At 55.2% G+C, this 19,920-nt stretch overlaps 1 long non-coding RNA gene across 1 annotated transcript, besides 9 other annotated features; it reads right to left on the bottom strand.

Moving 5' to 3' along the window:
- Positions 243-1,442: an enhancer, noted in NCBI's record as "P300/CBP strongly-dependent group 1 enhancer chr21:46783494-46784693 (GRCh37/hg19 assembly coordinates)". NCBI's record gives its function as "activates an origin of replication core promoter dependent on BRD2, BRD4, P300/CBP, MED14 and CDK7 cofactors, with strong dependence on P300/CBP, by STARR-seq in HCT116 cells {active_cell/tissue: HCT116}" and the evidence as "EXISTENCE:reporter gene assay evidence [ECO:0000049][PMID:35650434]".
- Positions 653-947: an enhancer, noted in NCBI's record as "tiled region #14562; HepG2 Activating DNase unmatched - State 5:Enh, and K562 Activating DNase unmatched - State 5:Enh". NCBI's record gives its function as "activates a minimal TATA promoter and a strong SV40 promoter by Sharpr-MPRA in HepG2 and K562 cells {active_cell/tissue: HepG2 | K562}" and the evidence as "EXISTENCE:reporter gene assay evidence [ECO:0000049][PMID:27701403]".
- Positions 822-891: an enhancer, noted in NCBI's record as "active region_18589". NCBI's record gives its function as "activates an Ori minimal core promoter by ATAC-STARR-seq in GM12878 lymphoblastoid cells {active_cell/tissue: GM12878}" and the evidence as "EXISTENCE:reporter gene assay evidence [ECO:0000049][PMID:35858748]".
- Positions 1,012-1,071: an enhancer, noted in NCBI's record as "active region_18588". NCBI's record gives its function as "activates an Ori minimal core promoter by ATAC-STARR-seq in GM12878 lymphoblastoid cells {active_cell/tissue: GM12878}" and the evidence as "EXISTENCE:reporter gene assay evidence [ECO:0000049][PMID:35858748]".
- Positions 1,863-2,588: an enhancer, noted in NCBI's record as "H3K4me1 hESC enhancer chr21:46782348-46783073 (GRCh37/hg19 assembly coordinates)". NCBI's record gives its function as "activates a minimal SCP1, AML or CMV promoter by ChIP-STARR-seq in naive H9 embryonic stem cells {active_cell/tissue: H9 hESC(naive)}" and the evidence as "EXISTENCE:reporter gene assay evidence [ECO:0000049][PMID:30033119]".
- Positions 4,312-5,024: a transcriptional cis regulatory region, noted in NCBI's record as "candidate enhancer chr21.1536 targeted for multiplex CRISPR interference". NCBI's record gives its function as "positively regulates COL18A1 gene expression with high confidence in K562 cells {active_cell/tissue: K562}" and the evidence as "EXISTENCE:mutant phenotype evidence [ECO:0000015][PMID:30612741]".
- Positions 6,308-6,961: an enhancer, noted in NCBI's record as "H3K4me1 hESC enhancer chr21:46777975-46778628 (GRCh37/hg19 assembly coordinates)". NCBI's record gives its function as "activates a minimal SCP1, AML or CMV promoter by ChIP-STARR-seq in naive H9 embryonic stem cells {active_cell/tissue: H9 hESC(naive)}" and the evidence as "EXISTENCE:reporter gene assay evidence [ECO:0000049][PMID:30033119]".
- Positions 10,813-11,687: an enhancer, noted in NCBI's record as "H3K27ac-H3K4me1 hESC enhancer chr21:46773249-46774123 (GRCh37/hg19 assembly coordinates)". NCBI's record gives its function as "activates a minimal SCP1, AML or CMV promoter by ChIP-STARR-seq in primed H9 embryonic stem cells {active_cell/tissue: H9 hESC(primed)}" and the evidence as "EXISTENCE:reporter gene assay evidence [ECO:0000049][PMID:30033119]".
- LOC105372839 (uncharacterized) lies at positions 11,483-17,453 on the bottom strand. The gene is made up of 2 exons (XR_937800.3): positions 17,333-17,453; positions 11,483-11,656 (listed from the first exon to the last, which is right to left on the bottom strand). It is a non-coding gene; the product is annotated as an uncharacterized LOC105372839 (long non-coding RNA).
- Positions 17,166-18,082: an enhancer, noted in NCBI's record as "H3K27ac-H3K4me1 hESC enhancer chr21:46766854-46767770 (GRCh37/hg19 assembly coordinates)". NCBI's record gives its function as "activates a minimal SCP1, AML or CMV promoter by ChIP-STARR-seq in naive H9 embryonic stem cells {active_cell/tissue: H9 hESC(naive)}" and the evidence as "EXISTENCE:reporter gene assay evidence [ECO:0000049][PMID:30033119]".

Here is a 19,920-nt window from a genome sequence, read left to right as displayed (position 1 = left end):
CCATCTGCTCTTCCCGCCCACAGCCTCATTCTCCACCATCCCGTCTCCAGTCTGCTGGAATTAGCTGGCCGGGATCACTGCCTCGTGTTTTCAGGAGAAAAAGCAAACCTGACCATTCATCAGACAGGGCAAGTCAGCCTCGTCCGGCCCCTTGTCCCCGTCGGGGAATTCCAGTCCATCTTGGCTCCACCTGGCCCGATCTCTCTGGGCAGCACCCGTGGGGTCACAGCTTCCCTGAGAGGCAAAGCTCAGCTTCACGGGTGTCTCTGGAAGAACAGTTTCCTGGGTCCCAGGCCCTGCCCCTTTTTCAAACACCCCTTTCCTCTCTGATGCGGCTCCAGCCCCAGCCCCTGGAGACTCCCCCTGGCCTCCTGGTGCTTGGCCCCAGGTCCCGGGCTGAGCTCACAGACTTCCCTGCCCCATCTCAGGCCCCTCTCCCCATCCTCTCCTCTACCCCGCAGCTGGGCCTGGCCCAGCGGCCCTGGGAGGGACTGCCGCAACACAGCTCAGCGGTCGCTCGTGAAAGCAGGCTGGGTGATTTGGCCGGCCATCCCCGCATGTTCGAGGGACACTGTGGTGTCACGGGCTCCGCAGACAGTGGGAAAGCGCTCCCAGCAGCCACTCAGAACTTGGCCGCCTGCACCCCATTGTTCACGCTCCGGCACTGCTTCCTTTGGTCGTGAACCAGCAGAAGTTGCTGGTTCTGTTTCCCCCATCAAAGTTCACATGGCCTGGGTGACTCATACTGCGGCCACTTCCTTTTGGATACACTCACCAAATATCCACAGTTTGACTCCCAACAGCCAAGAAATTTCCATCTGTTCAGAACATACAATTAAAAATCCATCCAAAGTGAAAGGAACTTATGACTCAGCAGTGCCCCGAGAGTGACTCACTGGCAGGGAGCCGTCGGCCCGTGTTTCTGGCCCTACACTCCTTTCTCATTGACTCAGCAGACACTCGCCAAGCTCCTACTGTGTGTCAGGCACCACGCAGAGCTCACACAGATGACCAGAGGCCCAGTGTCCACGCTCAGGAGCACCCAGTCTAGCGAGAGAAGGAGCAGTGGTCACAGCACAAGCCAGGCTGTGGCTGGGCCGGGGCTGGGTGTGGAGAGTGGGCGAGGCCCCCGGCCGCAGCATGAAGGGTATCCTTCCTCCCAGGTGCCCACCTTGTGCTTGCAGAAGGCTGGGAGGGACAGCGCCTCCCGACAGGTGCTTCCCGGTTGTGAGATGCAGCCATGTGGCTGCACATTGCAGGAGCTGGTTTCATCGCCACCCCGTGTTCTATTACGTGGCTGTTCCACCCCCACCCCACTGCCAGTGGTCATCTGAGTTCTTTCCAGTTCAGGGGTATTGGGAATAATGATGCTATAAACAATCTCATGTCTTTGGGTGAACACCAGTAGGTGCTTCCTACCCAGAACACACACTGAGGCCTGGGACTGCCGGGTCCCAGGTACGAAACGTTAGACTGGAGTGGATGCCAGCCACCATTTTCCACACCGGCCGTGGCACTCTGCCCACCGCCTGGAACTGTGGATCTTTGAAATGTTGGCCTCTCTGGGGTAGGACGGCGTCTCAGGGTTTAGTCTGCACCTCCCGGACGATGGGTGAGGTTGGGCCCCTCCCACGTGCTCACCGGACACCCACATCGCGACGCGCCTCGGTCTGTCCCTGCCTCTGCCAGCCGGGTGCTTTATTCTCATTGATTTGTCAGAGTTCTTCATACATTCTCGACAAAAGACCTCCGTGAATCCTAAGAAATGACACGTACGGTAGCTTCTCTCACTGTGTGGCTTAATTTTTCAGTCTTCACAGTGTCTTTGTGAGGAGGCCGTGGAGATGGAGGTCTTTCCCTGACTGTGTTCTTGCTGGGAAAAAGGACTAACGGGGCTTCTCTGTGACAGACCAGGTGTCCGCAGAATCCACAGACTCCACAGACCAGTGTCCCCAAGTCACAGCCCTGGGTGTGGGAGAGTTGTCACCAAACCCAGGAACAGAGCTGTCCAGCAGGGGCCGACTCAGGCCGGGAGGGTGACGCTGAGCCCCAAGGAGGGGCGTCGGGGAAGCGCCCACTCGCCCACTCTCCCGCTCGCCCTTGGGGGTTCTGTGGGGCTTGGCCTCTCCTACTTGAAGGCCAGACCCGACTTCCAGGCTCAGGGCACGATGCACTTTGGGATGAGAGAGTGGCCTTTTGTGGGCCCTGGGGGCCCTTGTCGGTGGGACCACCCACCCCTCCTGGGGGCTGCTGTAGTGATGTTCAAAAGAAAAGAAAACATTGCCGAGGGTTTCTCAGCGTTTAAAAGCAAAGCACACCTGAGTGTGCGCCTGGCAGCCAAGAAGAGGCCTAAACAACTGAGATCAGTCAGGATCGTTAAGGACAAAGATGTTCAAAGGAATTTGATGGAGAAAACCCCACAGGGTCAGTCAGAAACCCCGGCTGCCATCGAGCAGCTGATGCTTGAGGACATTCACTGCAGTCACTGTTGGGCCCTGGGACAGGCAGGGCTGTGTCCTCGGGGTCCCAGCACCCCTGTGGAATGGGCTCACTGGCAGCTCTTTCCGGATGACCTCTCTCTCTCTCCCCGCCTGGTGTGGTCAGGTTGCTTCTCTCTCCTGCTCACAAGGAGGGGTCCCCTCTCCACGCTTGCTCTGTCCCCAAAGTCCTGATGCCACCCCAAAGGTGCTGACGTGAGAGGGGTGGTATGTCCTGGGTCTGGGGACAGGTGGGGTGTGGCTGGATGCAGGTAGGGGGCCTGGGCAGAGCTTGGGGCCAGGTGATCAGGGAGGTGGGCGGGGGCTTCCCAGACCCCCTCACCCTGCTCCTAAGGGGAGGAGACCCGGCCCTGCTCTTGGGTCTGCAGGTAGAAGTGGGGGAAGAAGCACATGATGAACATAAAGTCGCAGCTCAGAGGTGACGCTGGGCTAAAAGCAACATTTTCAAATAAAATCTGTTGGAATTCAGACAGGCAGGACAGTGGGGAGCTGGCCTAGGACCTGAAATCCAAACCTTGCAGGGCAGGGAGCTCACTGAGGCCACGCCAGGCAGGGGGGCTCGGGCACCGCCTTCACCTCCTGCCAAGATCCTTGAGTTTCACTAAGAGCCTCCTTGCTGTCAGCGTGCCCCTGCGAGGGGCCCTGCCGGCGTGACGAGGCAGTCCGGCCTCTGGGTCAGCCTTCTTGGCCAGATGACTTGCAGGTGACCAGGGCTGTAGAGGGGCAGCTGAGGCAGCAGGGAGGGAGGCCGCTGGGGACCCCAAGCACTGGCTCTGGCCCGTATGGGTCCTCAGGTGGATGGTTCAGCCAGAGGCACCATGGCTGCCTGGAGACTGCGGAGCTGGGAGCAGGGACTAGGCAGGGGTCGGGCTGAGCTCACAGGGATCTTTGCTTATCCAGGGGGAGAGGTTTTCTGCAGGAAGACTTAGGACTGCGAGTGGGGCTTGGATTTTTGGGATTCCAGCCCGGGAGGGTGGCTTCCTGTGAGTCCTGGGCCACTCCTTGGGTAGCCCACATGCCCCATTTTATGCGGCCGTTAAGACATCTGGACTCTGTCCCATGGCTGCTGGAGGCATCTGCCTGCCTCTCCCGTCTGTCTCTCCTGTCCTGTCTCTGGGACAAGAGGGGGTTGGGGTAGCGGCCTGCGCAGTCTCTAATAGCAGGGAGGGTCCCCAGGGCACCCTCCCCTCAGCCTCCAGGAATAAGTGCATCAGCTTCCCCTCCTCCCTACCCCGGGGCCTCGAGGTGGGGCCCCCAAGATTGTTTTCGGCTCAGCCCTCGCACAGAGCATGAGGCTGATCTTAGCAGTGGTCTCTGGCCGCCCCCGCCACCTGCGAGGCCACAGCACCCCAGACCCCTCACCCTGCCCCAGGGACACACAAGGACCTGGTCTTGGCTCCTAATGGAAGCCCCCAAGCTGGCCCAGCGTCCTCACCAGCCACCCAGCTCTGCCCTCTGCTCAGGCTCTCAGAGCCACAGCCCCCGAAGCTCTTCCCTTCATAGATGATAATACTTTCTCTTCCTATCTGTGCGATTTTTATTAACTTAAAATTTTTTGTGGCATTTCTCCATTTGTGGCATATTTTCAATTCCCCTGAAATGATCTGCTTCCACGTTTGTATGAGTTCCCTGTGGCTGCTGTGAGAAATGACCACAAACTCAGTGGCTTAAAACAACACAGATCCGGCCGGGCGCGGTGGCTCATGCCTGTAATCCCAGCACTTTGGGAGGCCGAGGCGGGCGGATCACCTGAGGTCAGGAGTTCGAGACCAGCCAGGCCAACATGTTGAAACTCCATCTCTACTAAAAATACAAAAATTAGCCAGGCGTGGTGGCGGGCATGTGTGGTCCCAGCTACTGGGAGGCTGAGGCAGGAGAACTGCCCGGGAGGTAGAGGTTGCGGTGAGATGAGATCGCACCACTGCACTCCAGCCTGAGCGACAGAGCAAGACTCCATCTCAAAAAAAAAAAAAAAAAGATTCATTATCTCATGGCTCCTAAGGAGTCACTTGGGGTGGGCAGGGCCCGCTCCTCCTGGCCCCCCAGGAGAATCGCTCTCCCACTTTCCCCGCCCACAGTCCCTGCTGCAGTCCTGTGCCTCCCCCGGGCCCTCCTGCCTCCCTGGATAAGGGCCCCTAAGGATTACCAGCAGATAACCAGACCTCCCGTGTCAGAGTGCCTGGCCTTCATCACAGTGACCAGTCCCCTCTGCACAGAGCCACACATTCCTGGGAGGGAGCAGGGTGTGGGGGCTTTATGGGACTCGTATTCCGCTTAATACAATGGGCTGATAAAACCTCATTGTGTCTGGGGAAGATTTTGGTGGGGGCTGCGTTCCCCCTTTATCCTCCCTGAATGCCTGGGCTTTGTCTCTTGTTCTGAGATGCTCATGTTTCCCTCTGGGCGGGGAAGGGCGGCAGGGCCGGGGAAGGGGGTTGGCGGGAAGGGGAGTGGGGGCCGCACCTGAGTTGTGGGACCGCACTGATGAGGATGAGGACAGGGACCTGTGCCTGAGGGGGTGGAGACGGCGGTGAGTGGATACTGTGAGGCCTCCTGGACACCAAGACCACCTGCACGATCCCCCTGCCTGGAGCCCCCTCCTCAGTTCCCACATAATGAATTCGGGGATGACTGGGTCTGGTCTAGGCAGTGGACGATCGCTGGTCCTGATTGGATGTCCCAGGGGTGTGGATGGCAAGAGGGCAAAGCCACACTTGCTTGTCCTGGTGAACCTCAGAACAAGCCTTCGCTTTAAGGCCCTTGCGGGGGGGTTCTCTGGGGACTGTATCCATGAGGAGGGAGCGCCCTCTGCATAGGCTGGCGGCTTCCAGCTTTCTGGGTCTCCTGGAGGAATCTCCCCAGTGGGGCCTCCCGACCCCACCTAGAGCAGCCCCCATCCCCTCCCTCTCAGGCCTGTGCCAGCCGTCACGATGCTCTCACCTCCTTATCACCTGCACGGGAGGAAGGCCCAGGACAGCAGTGGGGCCCGTCCAGTTTCCCTGTCCCCGAGGCCTCACCCGGTGCCCATGAGGACAGAGGGATGGACGCGTGAGGGGTCAGGGGATGTGGGGCTTCCCGCCCTCCAAGTGCCTAAAGCTCACACTGCAGTTTAAAAGTTCACTCGTGTTTGGCCATACACAGTGCAGATTGCCTGTGTTAACGTTTGCGTGTGCCTGCAACTGTGAATATGAGGTCCTTTTTTCCATTGCATTTTCTGGCTGGTGAGCATGAGGGAGTGGGAGGTATAGCCCCTTGAGGGACTCCTGGGGCTGCAATGGGGAGTGCCGGAGGAGGCATTAAAAGCTGAGCTGAGGAAGGCATCTCCCTGGGGCTGCGAACCCTGGGAAGGTTCAGTGGGGTTGGCCCTGCCCCTAGCTGCTTCCAGTGCAGGGGCAACCCACGCACAGACCCCGCTCCATGCCGCTCTCCTGCTCTGCGCCCAGACTAGCCCGCCTTCCCAGGGCCTGCAGGGCTGGCCCCCACCCCCTCAGATGCCCTAAGCCACCTCTGCTGCCAGGATGCTCCCCTCCCTGTCCATCTGCTCGGCTTCTCATTCCTGGGCTATGCCCCGGGTTCCCAAAGGCTGGGACCCTCAGGCGCACTGTCCTAGGCCCCACACCTCTCTGTGGCCCTCTGGGCAGCTGGTGGACTACAGCTTTGCCGTCTGATTCCCCGGCTGCAAATCCAAGCTCTGTGCTGCTCAGCTGTGCAGCCTCCCTGTGCCTCAGTTTCCTGCTCTGTCAAGTAGGGATAGTGGTGGCACCTATTCATGGAGTTGTGTGGCCAGGCTGTGCTCACAGCCAACAGCCGTGGAACATGACACAGAACATGCTAGTTGGGGGAACTGCTCTTCCATACTTGGTGTGAAATAATGAGGCTATTTTGTTCCATCATCTTTTGTTCCGTCATATTCCACCCAGGCCCCTCGCCTACCTGGGGGCTCTGGCTCGATGGTCCCCCCGGGCAGCAGAGGCTCGGGTACCAAGGAACATGTGGCCAGTGGTGGAACGGCTGGATCCCCGGATCTTGGCTCTGACCTGAGCGAAGCTCTCAGTCCTGGAATTGGCTGTGAATCCAGGTTCTCTGTGTGGACGGGGCCCCGGTTCACAGAGCAGCCAGGAATGGTCGCTAGTCATCACTGGTCAGATTTGTTGGCGGGAGGTCACTCATGTGTCCACCACACACAAAAAGCAAAACAAAGCATGGAGAGAAGGGGCTTGGAGAAGGTGGCCTGATGGGGGCCGCGGCTGCTCCGGGAGAGGCTGCCCCTTGTGCTTCGAGCCTCACCCATCGGGCAGCATTTGTGCAGCTGGGCCCTTCCCGGCATCAACCACCAGGCCCGAGTGTGGGGCCCGAGTTGCTGGCTGCCCTGAGTGCCCTGGTCCCTGGGGCCCCCATGGGAGATCAAGGGGCTCAGGAGAGGGCATGGGACTCAGGAGGTCCCGGGGCAGCTCCCCCTTCAGGCAGATCAGGGCTGCTTTTCGCTTCACATATTGGGCCTCGTTTATCCCAGTGCTGCCGTGTACGAAACGGATTGAAGACTTTGAAAACCACAGGACCCCGGGGGCCTGTCTATTCCTTCCACGTTGGACATGCTGTGAAACCAGGACTCTCCACCCAGCAGCCCACAGGTGCGGCAGGGGCCAGCTCGCTGTCTTGCTCCTGACACCCCCCGTGCCCTGAGAGTGCCCGGCGTGTGGGAATATGCATTCAGTGGTCAAGCAATCCTAAGCTGGCTGGTGAAGAGAGAAATGAGTGGTGTGGGCCTGTGTGTGTCCGGCCCCACGCAGCCGGAAAGCGTCACCAACAGTGAGACCGAAAGCAAAAAACTGAACATTCTTGTTCTGCGAAAGAACGTCTGATTGGAAAAACATGCTCCCAGCTGCAGGAGCTGAGGGCAGCTGTGAAACGCGCCGGCTCGGCGTGTTTGACAGTGGAACCGCTTCGCAGTCCTGGAGTCGGAGCCTCGCTGATTGCGATCGCGGACACGTGGCCACTTCCCTGAGCGAGAAATCATGGCTTTTCCGGGACTTAACGTTCTCATTCTTTTCACTGCTATATTTTGAAATTTAAAACTTAGAAGACAAAGTTGCGAGGATAGAGAGGGAGCACCTCACTCGGACTCACTAACTTTGTGCATTTTGCCCCATTTTCTTTATCACACTTCCTCTCCCTCACTCAAAAGTGTTTTTAGAACCAAAAAAAAAAAAACAAGTAGGCGCGCAGAGGCCAAGGGAAAAACTTCCCCTTTGCCCTCGGAAGTTTCACTGGAAAATCAACTCACAGAAGGCAGATTAACTGGAGGAAAGGCTGACATGTGTTCTAATGTGCATAGCATGGAGGATCTTAGGAGGACGATTACCCCAAACCCCGGGGGGCCACAGACGGCCATGCACCCTTCTTCTTGGGGGAAAGGAGATGGGGCAGTGTGGGTGACTTTAGGGTGGTAGTAAATGATTTTTAGGGAATTCAATGGGCTTGAAGCACGGACAATGGCCTGGAACAAAGTCCGCTGGAGCAGACAATGGTTGTGACATTTGCCAGGTGTGTTGACAAACCTCGGCCTTTCTTCTTGCGATAGAAGCTCAGTTAATGGAAACGCAGGGAGGGGATTCCGGGTCATTGTTTTCTTCTTTGGCCGGTAGGGACTTCAGGCAGATAAGGGAGATTCAGGGAACAACTTCGTGCTTTGGGAGAGACAGGAGCAGGGAGGTCAGAGAGACCTTGAGGCTGCCTCGGTTCACATCAAAGCTGTATCTCAGGTACCAGCTTCTGAGCCCCAGCAAGGCGGGGTCACCATGTCCACTCCCCACTGTGGACCTCAGCGTGTGCCTGCAGGGAACGCCCCTTGGTGTAATCACCTAATGATGTGATACAACCATCTAGCGGGCAGTCCATTTCCCATTCTTGTCCACTGTCCCAGTAATGTTCCTTCCCACCCAAGGGTGCAGTGCAGGAGCACGCGTGGAATTTAACCGTCATGTCTCCAATCTCCCTGAACCCAGAACACTCGCCTGAACTCTCCTGTCCTTTTGGACCTTGGTGGTCTCTCCAGCGCCCCTTATTGGCAGTCTAAGGGGATGCTGGCAGGCTGAGCAGAGATGTGGTTTGTGGGGTCCCAGCCCCGGCAGCTCAGGATGGGGTCCGGAGGGTGGGTTTGGGTGGAAGACCACACCTTCATAACAGGCACCCTCTCCAAACTGCACGACTCTCATTTGTCTCACCTTGTGGCATTGGCTATAATTTCCAGTACGGCATTGAACAGAAGTGGCCAGGCAGACAGCCTCACCCCGTTCACAGAGTGAGAGGGACACTGTTAGGGAGGCCCAGCCCAATGGCCACATTTTCACTTGATTACCTCTGTAAAGATCCCATTCTCCAGATACAGTCACCTTCCAAGATGCTGGGGTTAGGATGTGAATTTTGGCAGTAGGGAGTGGGGCAAATTCAGGACAGAGCAGGAATTCTCCCCTCTTCCTCTGTCTTCTGAATGAGTTTGTGTAAGGTCGGCATTCCACCATCACATCTGATTTTAGCTGTAGGCTCCTCATACGTGGCCATATCATATGGAGAAAGTTTCACTTTGTTCTTAGCCTGTCTCGAGTTCTTATCTGTGATAATGGGTGTTGCTTTTTTGTTGAATGATTTCTCTGCATTTATTGAATGATCATGTTTTCTGCTTCTGTGAATGACACTGATTGATGCTCAAACAGTAAACGGCTCTTGCATTCCCGGCGGAAGCACGTTTGGTCGTGGTGTACCATTTACTTCCCTTGCTGGCCGTGATTGCTAACATCTGGTTGAGTGTTTTGTGTCTGTGTTGATGTGCGGGACGTTCCCCAATTGTGTTTTATCATAATGTCTTTGTCAGGTGTCGTCTCAGGCTTACATCCGCCTGGTACAACGCACTAGGGATTTTATTAGTTTGTTTGGGCTACCTTAAGAATGCGCAGAACTGGTGGCTCGAACAGGCACTTCCTTCTCACAGTCCCGGAGCCTGGGGTCTGAGATCAAGGAGGGGCAGGGCTGGTGCCTGGGGTCTCTCCTTGGCTTGCAGACACCATCTTCTCCCTGTGTCCTCACAGGGCCGTCCCTCTGTGTGTGTCCGTGCCCTCATCTGCTCTTCTTACGAGGACGCCAGCAGACTGGGCCAGGGCAACCCTAATGACCACATTTTAACTTAATGACTTCTGTAAAGATCCCCTCTCCAAATACAGTCACCTTCTGAGATGCTGGGGTTAGGGTATGAATTTTGGCAGCAGGGAGGGGGCAAATTCAGGCCATGGCAGACGTTCTCCCTTCTTCTGTTTTCTGAATGAGTTTGTGAAAGATCAGCATTATTTCTTCCCTACGTATTTGATACAACTCACCATAAAACCACCAGGGCGTGCAGTTTTCTTTGTGGAAGGAGTTTGATAACGAATTCAGTTATTAAAAGTAGACATAAGGCTATCCAGATTTTCTATTTCATTTCATGCTGATTTTGGTAAGTTGTGTTTTTCAGAAATTTGTGTCACCCAACGTTGTTAAATTTACTGACAAAGTTGCTCATAAAGTTTTATTATTATCCTGTGCTGTCTCAAGGATCCACATTGATATTCTTTCTTTCAGTCTACATATTGGCAATTTGTGTCTTCTCTCTCTTTTTTAAATCGATCTTGCTTGACAGATAACAATTTTAACAACTAAAAAAATCAATTTTGGGTTTGTTGATCTTTTTATCTGTTTTGTATTTCAATAATTTCTGCTACTACTTTCATTATTTATTTTCTACTTTTTGGGTTTAATTTGCTTATCTCTTTTATGCTACTTATATTGGAAACTTATATTATTGATGTTAAGCCTTTCTTTGTTTCTAATCTTAAGTATTTAAAGCTATAAATTTCCCTCTAAGCACCCTTTGCCTGCATTTCCACAAATTCTTACATTCTGCATTTTCATGATGATTCAATTCAAAATATTTTCTTCAAGATTTCTTCTTTAAAAGTTTTTTTTTGTGGCTAAGTCTTGCTACATTGCCCAGGCTGATGGACTCCTGGGTTTAAGCAATCCTCCCACCTCAGCCTCCCGAGTAGCTGGGGCGATGGGCGAGAGCCACCTTGCCTGGCATGCGATTTCTTCTTGACCCACACATTATTTAGACGTGTGTTGTTTAGTGTACAAATAGTTGAGACTTTAAAAAATATTTAAAGCATGTACAGGAGACACTGCAGCCCCTCATGCCAAACCCAGGGCAAAATGTCCCGGCTTCTTGCAACAACCCTATGAAGAAGAGACTATTATGATTCCTAGTTTTCAGGTGAGAAAACTGAAGCTCAGAATCATTAAATTACCTTTTCAAGGTCGAACAGATGGAATATGGTCCAGCCAGGTCCTGAGCCCTGCTATGCTGGACTTTAAAGTTGATGCTACTGACTACGGGTGAGTTGTGTGCACCTGTGTGCCTGTACCTGTGTACGTGCCTGTGTGCCTGTGTCTGTGCGCCTGTACCTCTGTGTAGGTGCCTATGTGCCTGTGCCTTTGCCTGTGTGCCTGTGTCTGTGTGCCTATGTCTGTGTGCCTGTGTGCCTATGTCTGTGTGCCTGTGTGTCTGTGTGCCTGTGTCTGTGTGTATGTGCCTGTGTGCCTGTGTCTGTGTGTTTGGGCCTGTGTGCCTGTGCCTGTGTATATGTACCTGTGTGTATGTGCCTGTGTGCCTGTGTGCCTATGCCTGTGTGCCTGTGTGTCTGTGTGCCTGTGTCTGTGTGTCTGGGCCTCTGTGTATGTGCCTGTGTGCCTGTGTGCCTATGCCTGTGTGCCTGTGTGTCTGTGTGCCTGTGTCTGTGTGTCTGGGCCTCTGTGTATGTGCCTATGTGCCTGTGCCTGTGTACCTGTGTCTGTGTGCCTGTGTCTGTGTGTATGTGTCTGTGTGCCTGTGCCTTTGCCTGTGTGCCTGTGTCTGTGTGCACAGTTTGCTAGGTCTGTCACAATAAGCCACCACACACTGGGGGCTTAAACAACAGACATTTATTATCTCACAGCAGGCTGATTCCCCCTGAGGCTGTAAGGGAGAGGCTGCTCCAGGCCTCCCCCAGCTTCTGGGCGTCCCACAGCCATCATGGCTCCTCAGTGTGCAGATGCATCCCACAGCTGTCTCCACACGGTGTCCAGACCTCCCCCTTTAAAAGACACACAAACACACCCTAATTACCTCATTTGTACTTGATTAACTGCAGATGCTATCTCCAGATAAGTTTATTCACAGATCCTGGGGGTTAGGACTCCAACATGTGAATTTGGGAGAGACACAGTTCAATCTATAACGGCATGTATATGTATATGCTTGCCTGTGCATGTGTGTGCACATACGTGTGTATACCAGCGTGTGTGTGTTTGTGTGTAAACTGCGTGACTCTGCATAAAATCCTACCCTGAGGCTGACAGGTGGTGAAACCGGGCCCAGTGCAGGGCCAGGACCTGCCGGGATCACAGGAGGCTGGGCAGCCGCCTCCCCCGCATCCTCCCGGCTGACACCCTGTGCTGCGAGGTCAGGCCGCCCCGGCTGTGGGCACAGGAGCCCCGGCTGTGGGCACAGGAGCCCCGGCTGTGGGCACAGGAATGGGCAGCAGGCTACCAAGCCGAGGGTCTGCATGGGTCCTCCAGCCATCTGTGGAGGCGCCCCACGGGCAGAGAGGGGAACGAGGGCCGTGTGTGCCTGGATGGAGGTAACTGCTGGGCGGGGGGCTGATTGTGAGCACCAGGGATAAAGCCTTGAAGCCAGAGCCGGAGGAGGCCGAGGAGGGGCTGGCGGGGTGAGCACAGAGCCGCCGCAGGAGCCCTCGGGACTCGGTGCCTGGGTCTTTGGGAGGGACAGGGAGCAGGACAGCGTGGCCTGGGCACCGGGTCCAGGCAACTGTCCAGTCTCTGGGGGCCAGGCCGAGGAGCTGGACTTCTGTTCCCTTGAGATCCCTTGTATGGTGTGGATTTCTGGCTTCTCTTTCTTTTTCTTTTTTCTTTTCTTTCTTTTTTTTTGAGATGGAGTTTTGCTCTTTTTGCCCAGGCTGGAGTGCAATGGCACGATCTTGGCTCACCGCAACCTCCGCCTCCCAGGTTCAAGTGATTCTCCTTCCTCAACCTCCCGAGTAGCTGGGATTCCAGGCACCTGCCACCATGCCCGGCTGATTTTTGTATTTTTAATAGAGATGGGGTTTCACCATGTTGGCCAGGCTGGTCTTGAACTCCTGACCTCAGGTGATCCACTTGCCTTGGCCTCCCAAAGTGCTGGGATTACAGGCTTGAGCCACTGTGCCTGGCCCTCATGGCTTCTCAAGTCTGGCAGATCCTCCCCAGATGCCTAGGCCCCCACAGCTCCCTGCATGCTGAGGTCCAAGCTGGAGGCAGCGTGGTTTCTGTGTGGGCTGCTGGCTGCAGGGCTGACCAATGGCCAGGGCTGCCCTGGACCTGCCAGCAGTGGCAGCCGGCAGGAAGTGGGTCCCAGGTGCAGGCTAGTGGAAAGAGGAGGTTGAACCACAGCCAAGCTGCTCAGATTTTCCAGGGTTGGACCCCCGGGTCATCCATGTGGGAGGAAGGAAGTGGTCCTGGGAGAGGCAGAGGAGCCCTCTGGCCCCCACAGGAAGGGTGGGCCCTGCATCCTCAGCCCGTGCCCCTCTTTCCTAGAAACTGTGGGCCCAGGTTAACCCTGGGGCCTGTGGGGGCTGGTGCAGAGCTGAGGATGAACACATCCCCACACCAGGGGCTCCCCACTCAGACCCCGGAGCCAGAGGGGAAACTAGGGATGCCTCCCTGTTCCACTGCCAGGGCCCAGGCCACGCTGTCGGTGGACAAGTGGCCAGGCAGGTGGGTAGGCAGCAAGGCCAGGCCTCTGCTGGCCTCAAACTCAAGGTGTCCAGGAGGCCCTCAGCGGAGCGGAACGCCTGTACAGCATGAGGTTCTAGTACCACATGTGCCAGGGCGCGGGCATCTTTACCCACCACTCAGAGAGGTTGTTTGCTGAGTTCCTTCTATTTTGTAGCAGCAAGATCTTTCCTCATTGTGCGAAGAGCTGGTGCAGAACCTCCCTGATCCACGCTCTCCGTCAGTCTTGCTCTGTTTTTGGGGTCCATCCGGCCGCCACCATGTCCTGGTCCCCGCTGAGCCCCAGGTAGGCGGAGGCCCTTCCCCCCCATCCTGGGATCCGGCCGCCACCACGTCCTGGTCCCCGCGGAGCCCCAGGTGTGCGGAGGCCCTTCCCCCATTCTGGGTCTTGTCATTGCAGGGCAAACTCTGAGGCCCCCCAGCCTCGTGGTCCTGCCACCCTCCCTGGCAGGTTCTTGTCGACTCAAGCCCAGTGAACGAGGCAGCTGGAGGACAGACTCGCGGTCGGCGCTGGGACCGAGGCGGCCCTGGGGGGCCGTGCTGCCCACCTCAGCTTTGCCTCCAGCATCAGCTGCTCAGCTTGTCCCTTACCCTGGGGTCTTCTGTAAGTCCCGAGCACTGCAGCCCGTGGGAGGGGCTTTCTCCCAGCCCCAGTCCATCTCCTGATCACCACACTCCTCTCACAACGGCTTCTGGGTTCTGAGGTTTTCATTCTCACATCTGGCTTCTATGGCAGGTATATATGTAAATGCAGGTCTATGTGCAGATATGTGTACATACGAATTGTGTGTGTACATAGCTATGGTATATGTGAGTGCATGCACCTACACACAGGTACATGGTGTGTGTGTGTGTGTGTGTGGCATGCACCCATGCACACGTATGCGGTATATGTGGTACATGTGCACACATATGCAACACACGTGTATATGTGGCAGTGTGTGTGATGCATGTGGGTATATGAATGTACATGGTGTGTGTGGGAATGCATTGCACATGTGTAAGTCTATGTGTGATATGTATACACATGTGTGTGATGTGTGTGGTGCTGACTATATGCACATGTGCTGTGTGATACATGTTTGTGTGCACGTACATGTGTGGCATGGGGCGCATGTCTGTATGCATATGTGTGGTGTGGTGTGTGGTGCAAATTTATATGCATGTGTGTTGTGTGATACGTTTGTGTGCACATGCATGTAATGTGTGTGGTACATGAGTCTATATACACATGTGCTGTGTGATGCAGCTCTCTGTGCACATACATGTGGTGTGTGCCTGTGTGAATGCATGTACATGTGCAATATATAGCATGTGAGGATGTGTGCCTATGGACATGCATGTGGTGTGTACACACGTGAATGCATGTGCGCATATATGTGTGTGGCCCATGTGCATGTGTGAATGCTTGTGCATGTGTGAATGCTTGTGCATGTGTACATGTGCCTCTTTAAATTCAGGAGCTGTTCACTTGAGTGATGTAGGAATGAGCAGAGGCAGGAGCTCTGGAGTGTCCCTGACAGCAGTAAGTTCTTCCAGTTCTGGAGCAGAGCTGCCGGCGAGAGAGCCCAGCCCCGCTTTCTCCTTCCTCCAGGGCGATAATGTTCCCATGAGGCTCATTAGAGAAGACGGATGAATGCTGGCAGCTTGAAGGCTTCCAGAGTCACGAGCACGCACACGCACACACACGCACGGCCCCACCAGTCTCATTACCAGCAGTTACGTAAAGCACACTTCCTGGGAACAGCTCGCCTCATTAGTCCACTGGGGTGATCAAGCTGCAGAAAGAAACCTCTCTTCCCAGAGTGGGGCCCACCGTGCCCAGTCGGTGCAGCTCAAACCACACTCCGTTCCCAAAGGCTGGAAGCAATTTTCTGGCTCTGAGGGAATTTCCATGGATTTTTTGTTCATTTGTTTTGTTTTTAGAGACAGAGTCTTGCTCTGTCATCCAGGCTGCAGTGTGGTGGCACGATCATATCTCACTGCAGCCTTGAACTCCTGGCCTTAAACAATCCTCTTGCCTCAGCCTCCTGAGTAGCTGGGACTACAGGCACGTGCCACCACCCTCAGCTAATTGTTTTTTGTACTTTTTGTAGAGATGGGGTATCACTGTGTTGCTTGGGCTGGTCTCAAACTCAGGGGCTCAAGCGATCCTCCCACCTTGGCCTCCCACAGTGCTGGGATTGTAGGCGTGAAGCTTCAGCTGAATTCCCATGGATTTTATGTCAATTGGTGCTGAGGAGTTTGAGGCCAATGCTGGTGGTGATTCCTGGAATGTGGTGACCACTGACCTTGGAGATGATGACCCCAGGTCCCCTCCCCCAGCCCTAATTAGAGCAGAAGCACCAAGGCTTCTGCCTGGGAAATGGCTGGGAATACTCCTCCTCCCCAGCCCCTGAGGCTGGTTTACAGCGCGGGCATGGGGGCTGTGGGGACCCAGACAGGGCCTGACTCTGGCCTGCTGGGGACCCGGGCAGTCGTCTCCCAGAGACTGGTGGTTCTGGCTGCCAGACCCCAGGTTAATGTGGAATTGGGTTCCAGCCACCCTGGATCCATGCACCGGGCAGGTGCCGCCAGCCGGCCGTGCTCCCATTGGTTCCTCACACCCACAGCATGATGCTCGTCTTACAGATGAGGACTTTGAGATCCAGCAAAGTCACTAACTTGCCCAGGGTTGTACAGCAGGAAGGGGAGAGAAGAGGTTGGGAGTCAGGCAGCCTGGCCCCAGACACAGGCCCCAGACACAGGCCCTCACCCACTGTTCTGCCCTGGCCTGGCCTAAGCGTTCATAGGAAGCCGACGATGGGAGGGCCTGGTGTCCCGACAATGCCCTGGGCCCAACTCCTCGGCCCCCAGGAGAACCCAGAGGAGGGCTGGGCCCTCCCACTCCAGGTACTGGGATCCTGGCGGACAGGATGCTAGGACCCCTCTAGCCTGTGCTGCTGCAGAGGGTCACCCCACAGAGGGGGTCTGCAGACCGCCTTGGAGCCCCCGCCCTCAGCCCTTGGAGCCTGAGACTCCCAGCAGCCTGACCTATGACCTTCAGTAACGATGATGTATCAGCTGGAATCAGACAGACCACCCAGGGACTCCGCCAGTAAGGAGATTTCCTTTTACTTCCTTTGTTTAATGTCCTTCTTTTATCCACTCTTACATAATTTTATAACTTTTTATTAGGAAGATGAATCCATTAATGCATCACCAAGCTTCAGTGATAGCCAGCCTCCCTCTAGCCTCATAAATCCTCCCATGGGGTATTTGAAATGAAATGAAGACGTCCTATCACTGTGTCCATAAATACTGTGGTATGTGCCCCCAGCAGATAAAATCTCTCCTTTTTAGAAAACACAGTCACAATATAATCATCACAATGGATCCCTAAATATTCAGCCTGTTCACATTTCCCTGACTGAAAACGGCTGTTGTAACGTCTTTTCCTTGCTGCCCCGGCCGAGGCGCGTCTTCCCGCCCCGCGCCCTCTGTCCTCTCGCTTTCTGGGCATCTGCGTGTGGATCCCGGGCCGTTCGTCCCATGGGATGCCCACTCTCGGGCTGCTGCTGCTGCTGCCTGGCCGGATTTGATGAGCTCCTCCCTGCATTTCCTCCAGCCTTGGGGTTGCCAGGCAGTGCTGGCCTCTGCCCTTGGCATCTTGTGGGGGCACAGGGCGTCCTGGTGCCTCTCTTCTGGGGATGGTCAGCCTGGTCACACAGGTCCCCAGAGGAGGACTGGGTACTCCTGCCCCTGGTCCTGGGATCCCTGGAGGGCAGGATGCTGGCACCCCCTCCAGCCTGTGCTGCTGCAGAGGGTGGCCCCGCAGAGGGAGTTTTTGGACCGCCTTAGAGCTCAATACAGCAGGAGGCTGCCTCGGCTCAGGCCCTAACTGTGGTCTCAAGCCGGCTCTCTCCTTGTAGGGACTCGGTTTCCCTGTGTTACCCTACTCCCGCCCTGACGGCTCAGACCCTCTCGTGGCAGTGGCTCACCTCTGGCGTTTCCTGAAGGTTTGCAAAACGGTGATCTTCGGATCCCATCACTCCTTCTGCGTTTACTCGCTGGAGATCCTCTGGAAAGAGCTTTCTCCCGTGAGCTGCTCGGCTGGGTGAGAAAGTTCCCGCAGGAAAGCCGGGACACGTGCTTTCTACCTCCCCCTATTTGCCAGTTCGCAGCATCACGGCTTGGCGCCCTAACAGCATCCGAGAGGGACAGGAGGTTTTGAAAGCGGTTTGATAAATTCACAGAGTTTCAAACATTTGATGTTTTCTACCATCACTATACCATTAGTCTGTTCGATGCCTGTCGTGCCCCGGCTGGCGCTGGGAGCCCTTCAAGCTGGGGGCTGCCCTCTCGACAGGGGGACGCCGGCGTGGCGGGTGACACTGCACTTGCTGATGCCTCCTGGGCTTCCAGCAGCTCCCTGTGCCGCTGCCCAGCCCGCGCTCAGTCACTTCCCAGAGTCCTGGTTCAGGTGAGTGGGGAGAGGGGCTCAGAGCCAGCCTGGGTGCCGGGGACTGTGGCTCCTGAGTCGTCTTTGCTTCTGGGCAATTCCAGATGACACAGCGGAAAAAATGTATTTTTATGAAACAAACATATGGCATGAGTTCAAGAGCTTACACAGGTGCCTCCTATTCAAACTGGAGAGTTTCTTCAACTTCTTTGACTTTATACTTGTATGCTTTTTTCTCTAACCCCGAAAATCTTGGCCCCTGATGGTATTAACATGTTTTGTCTTCATTTGCTTTATTTGAAACTGTATATATTCTAGTTTAAAATAAGAATACCAATATTATGGCCAAGTGCAGTGGCTCACACCTGTAACCTCAACACTTTAGGGGGCTGAGGTAGGAGGATCACTTGAGCCCAGGAGTTGGAGACCAGCCTGGGCAACATAGTGAGACCCCATCTCTACAAAAAATCAAAAATTAGCTGGGCATGGTGGTGCACACCTGTAGTTCCAGTTATTTGGAAGACTGAGGCAGGAGACTCTCTTGAACCCGGGAGTTACAGGTTGCAGTGAGCTGTGATTACACCACTGCACTGCAGTCTGGACGACAGAGTGAGACCCTGTCTCAAAAACAAGCCAACAGACCTGGCGCGGTGGCTCACGCCTGTAATGCCAGCACTTTGGGAGGCTGAGGCGGGTGGATCACATGACGTCAGGAGTTTGAGACTTGCCTGGCCAACATGGTGAAACCCTGTCTCCACTAAAAATACACAAATTAGCCAGGCGTGGTGGCGGGTGCCCGTAATCCCAGCTTTTGGGGAGGCTGAGGCACGAGAATGGCTTGAACCTGGGAGGCGGAGACGGCAGCGAGCTGAGACTGCACTGCTGCACTCCAGCCTGGACGACAGAGCGAGGCTCTGTCTCAAAAACAAAAACAAAAAACAACAACAACAGCCAAAAAAAAAAAAAAAAAGAATACAAATATTATTATCAGCAACCCAATTAGAGACTGCAGCCCGATATTTCTGCGTGGCTCCTCTTATCCTGCTACACACCCCGCCAGGGACGTCTAACCAATTCCCTGCGTTGAAAATCCAGTGGGAAGCGACACACCCCGCCAGGGACGTCTAACCAATTCCCTGTGTTGAAAATCCAGCTGGAAGCGACACACCCCGCCAGGGACGTCTAACCAATTCCCTGCGTTGAAAATCCAGCTGGAAGCGACACACCCCGCCAGGGACGTCTAACCAATTCCCTGTGTTGAAAATCCAGCTGGAAGCGACACACCCCGCCAGGGACGTGTAACCAATTCCCTGCGTTGAAAATCCAGCTGGAAGCGACACACCCCGCCAGGGACGTGTAACCAATTCCCTGCGTTGAAAATCCAGTGGGAAGCGACACACCCCGCCAGGGACGTCTAACCAATTCCCTGTGTTGAAAATCCAGTGGGAAGCGACACACCCCGCCAGGGACGTCTAACCAATTCCCTGTGTTGAAAATCCAGCTGGAAGCGACACACCCCGCCAGGGACGTGTAACCAATTCCCTGCGTTGAAAATCCAGTGGGAAGTGACACACCCCGCCAGGGACGTCTAACCAATTCCTTGTGTTGAAAATCCAGCTGGAAGCGACACACCCCGCCAGGGACGTGTTACCAATTCCCTGTGTTGAAAATCCAGCTGGAAGCGACACACCCCGCCAGGGACGTCTAACCAATTCCCTGTGTTGAAAATCCAGCTGGAAGCGACACACCCCGCCAGGGACGTGTTACCAATTCCCTGCGTTGAAAATCCAGTGGGAAGCGACACACCCCGCCAGGGACGTCTAACCAATTCCTTGTGTTGAAAATCCAGCTGGAAGCGACACACCCCGCCAGGGACGTGTTACCAATTCCCTGTGTTGAAAATCCAGCTGGAAGCGACACACCCCGCCAGGGACGTCTAACCAATTCCCTGTGTTGAAAATCCAGCTGGAAGCGACACACCCCGCCAGGGACGTGTTACCAATTCCCTGTGTTGAAAATCCAGCTGGAAGAGACACACCCCGCCAGGGACGTCTAACCAATTCCTTGTGTTGAAAATCCAGTTGGAATGCTTCTCCAAGCTGTTAGGCCACCAATAGGACATGAAAT

Source organism: Homo sapiens, chromosome 21, assembly GCF_000001405.40.
Source record: "Homo sapiens chromosome 21, GRCh38.p14 Primary Assembly".
NCBI lineage: Eukaryota > Metazoa > Chordata > Mammalia > Primates > Hominidae > Homo > Homo sapiens.
This window is presented reverse-complemented; position numbering and strand designations above follow the sequence as displayed.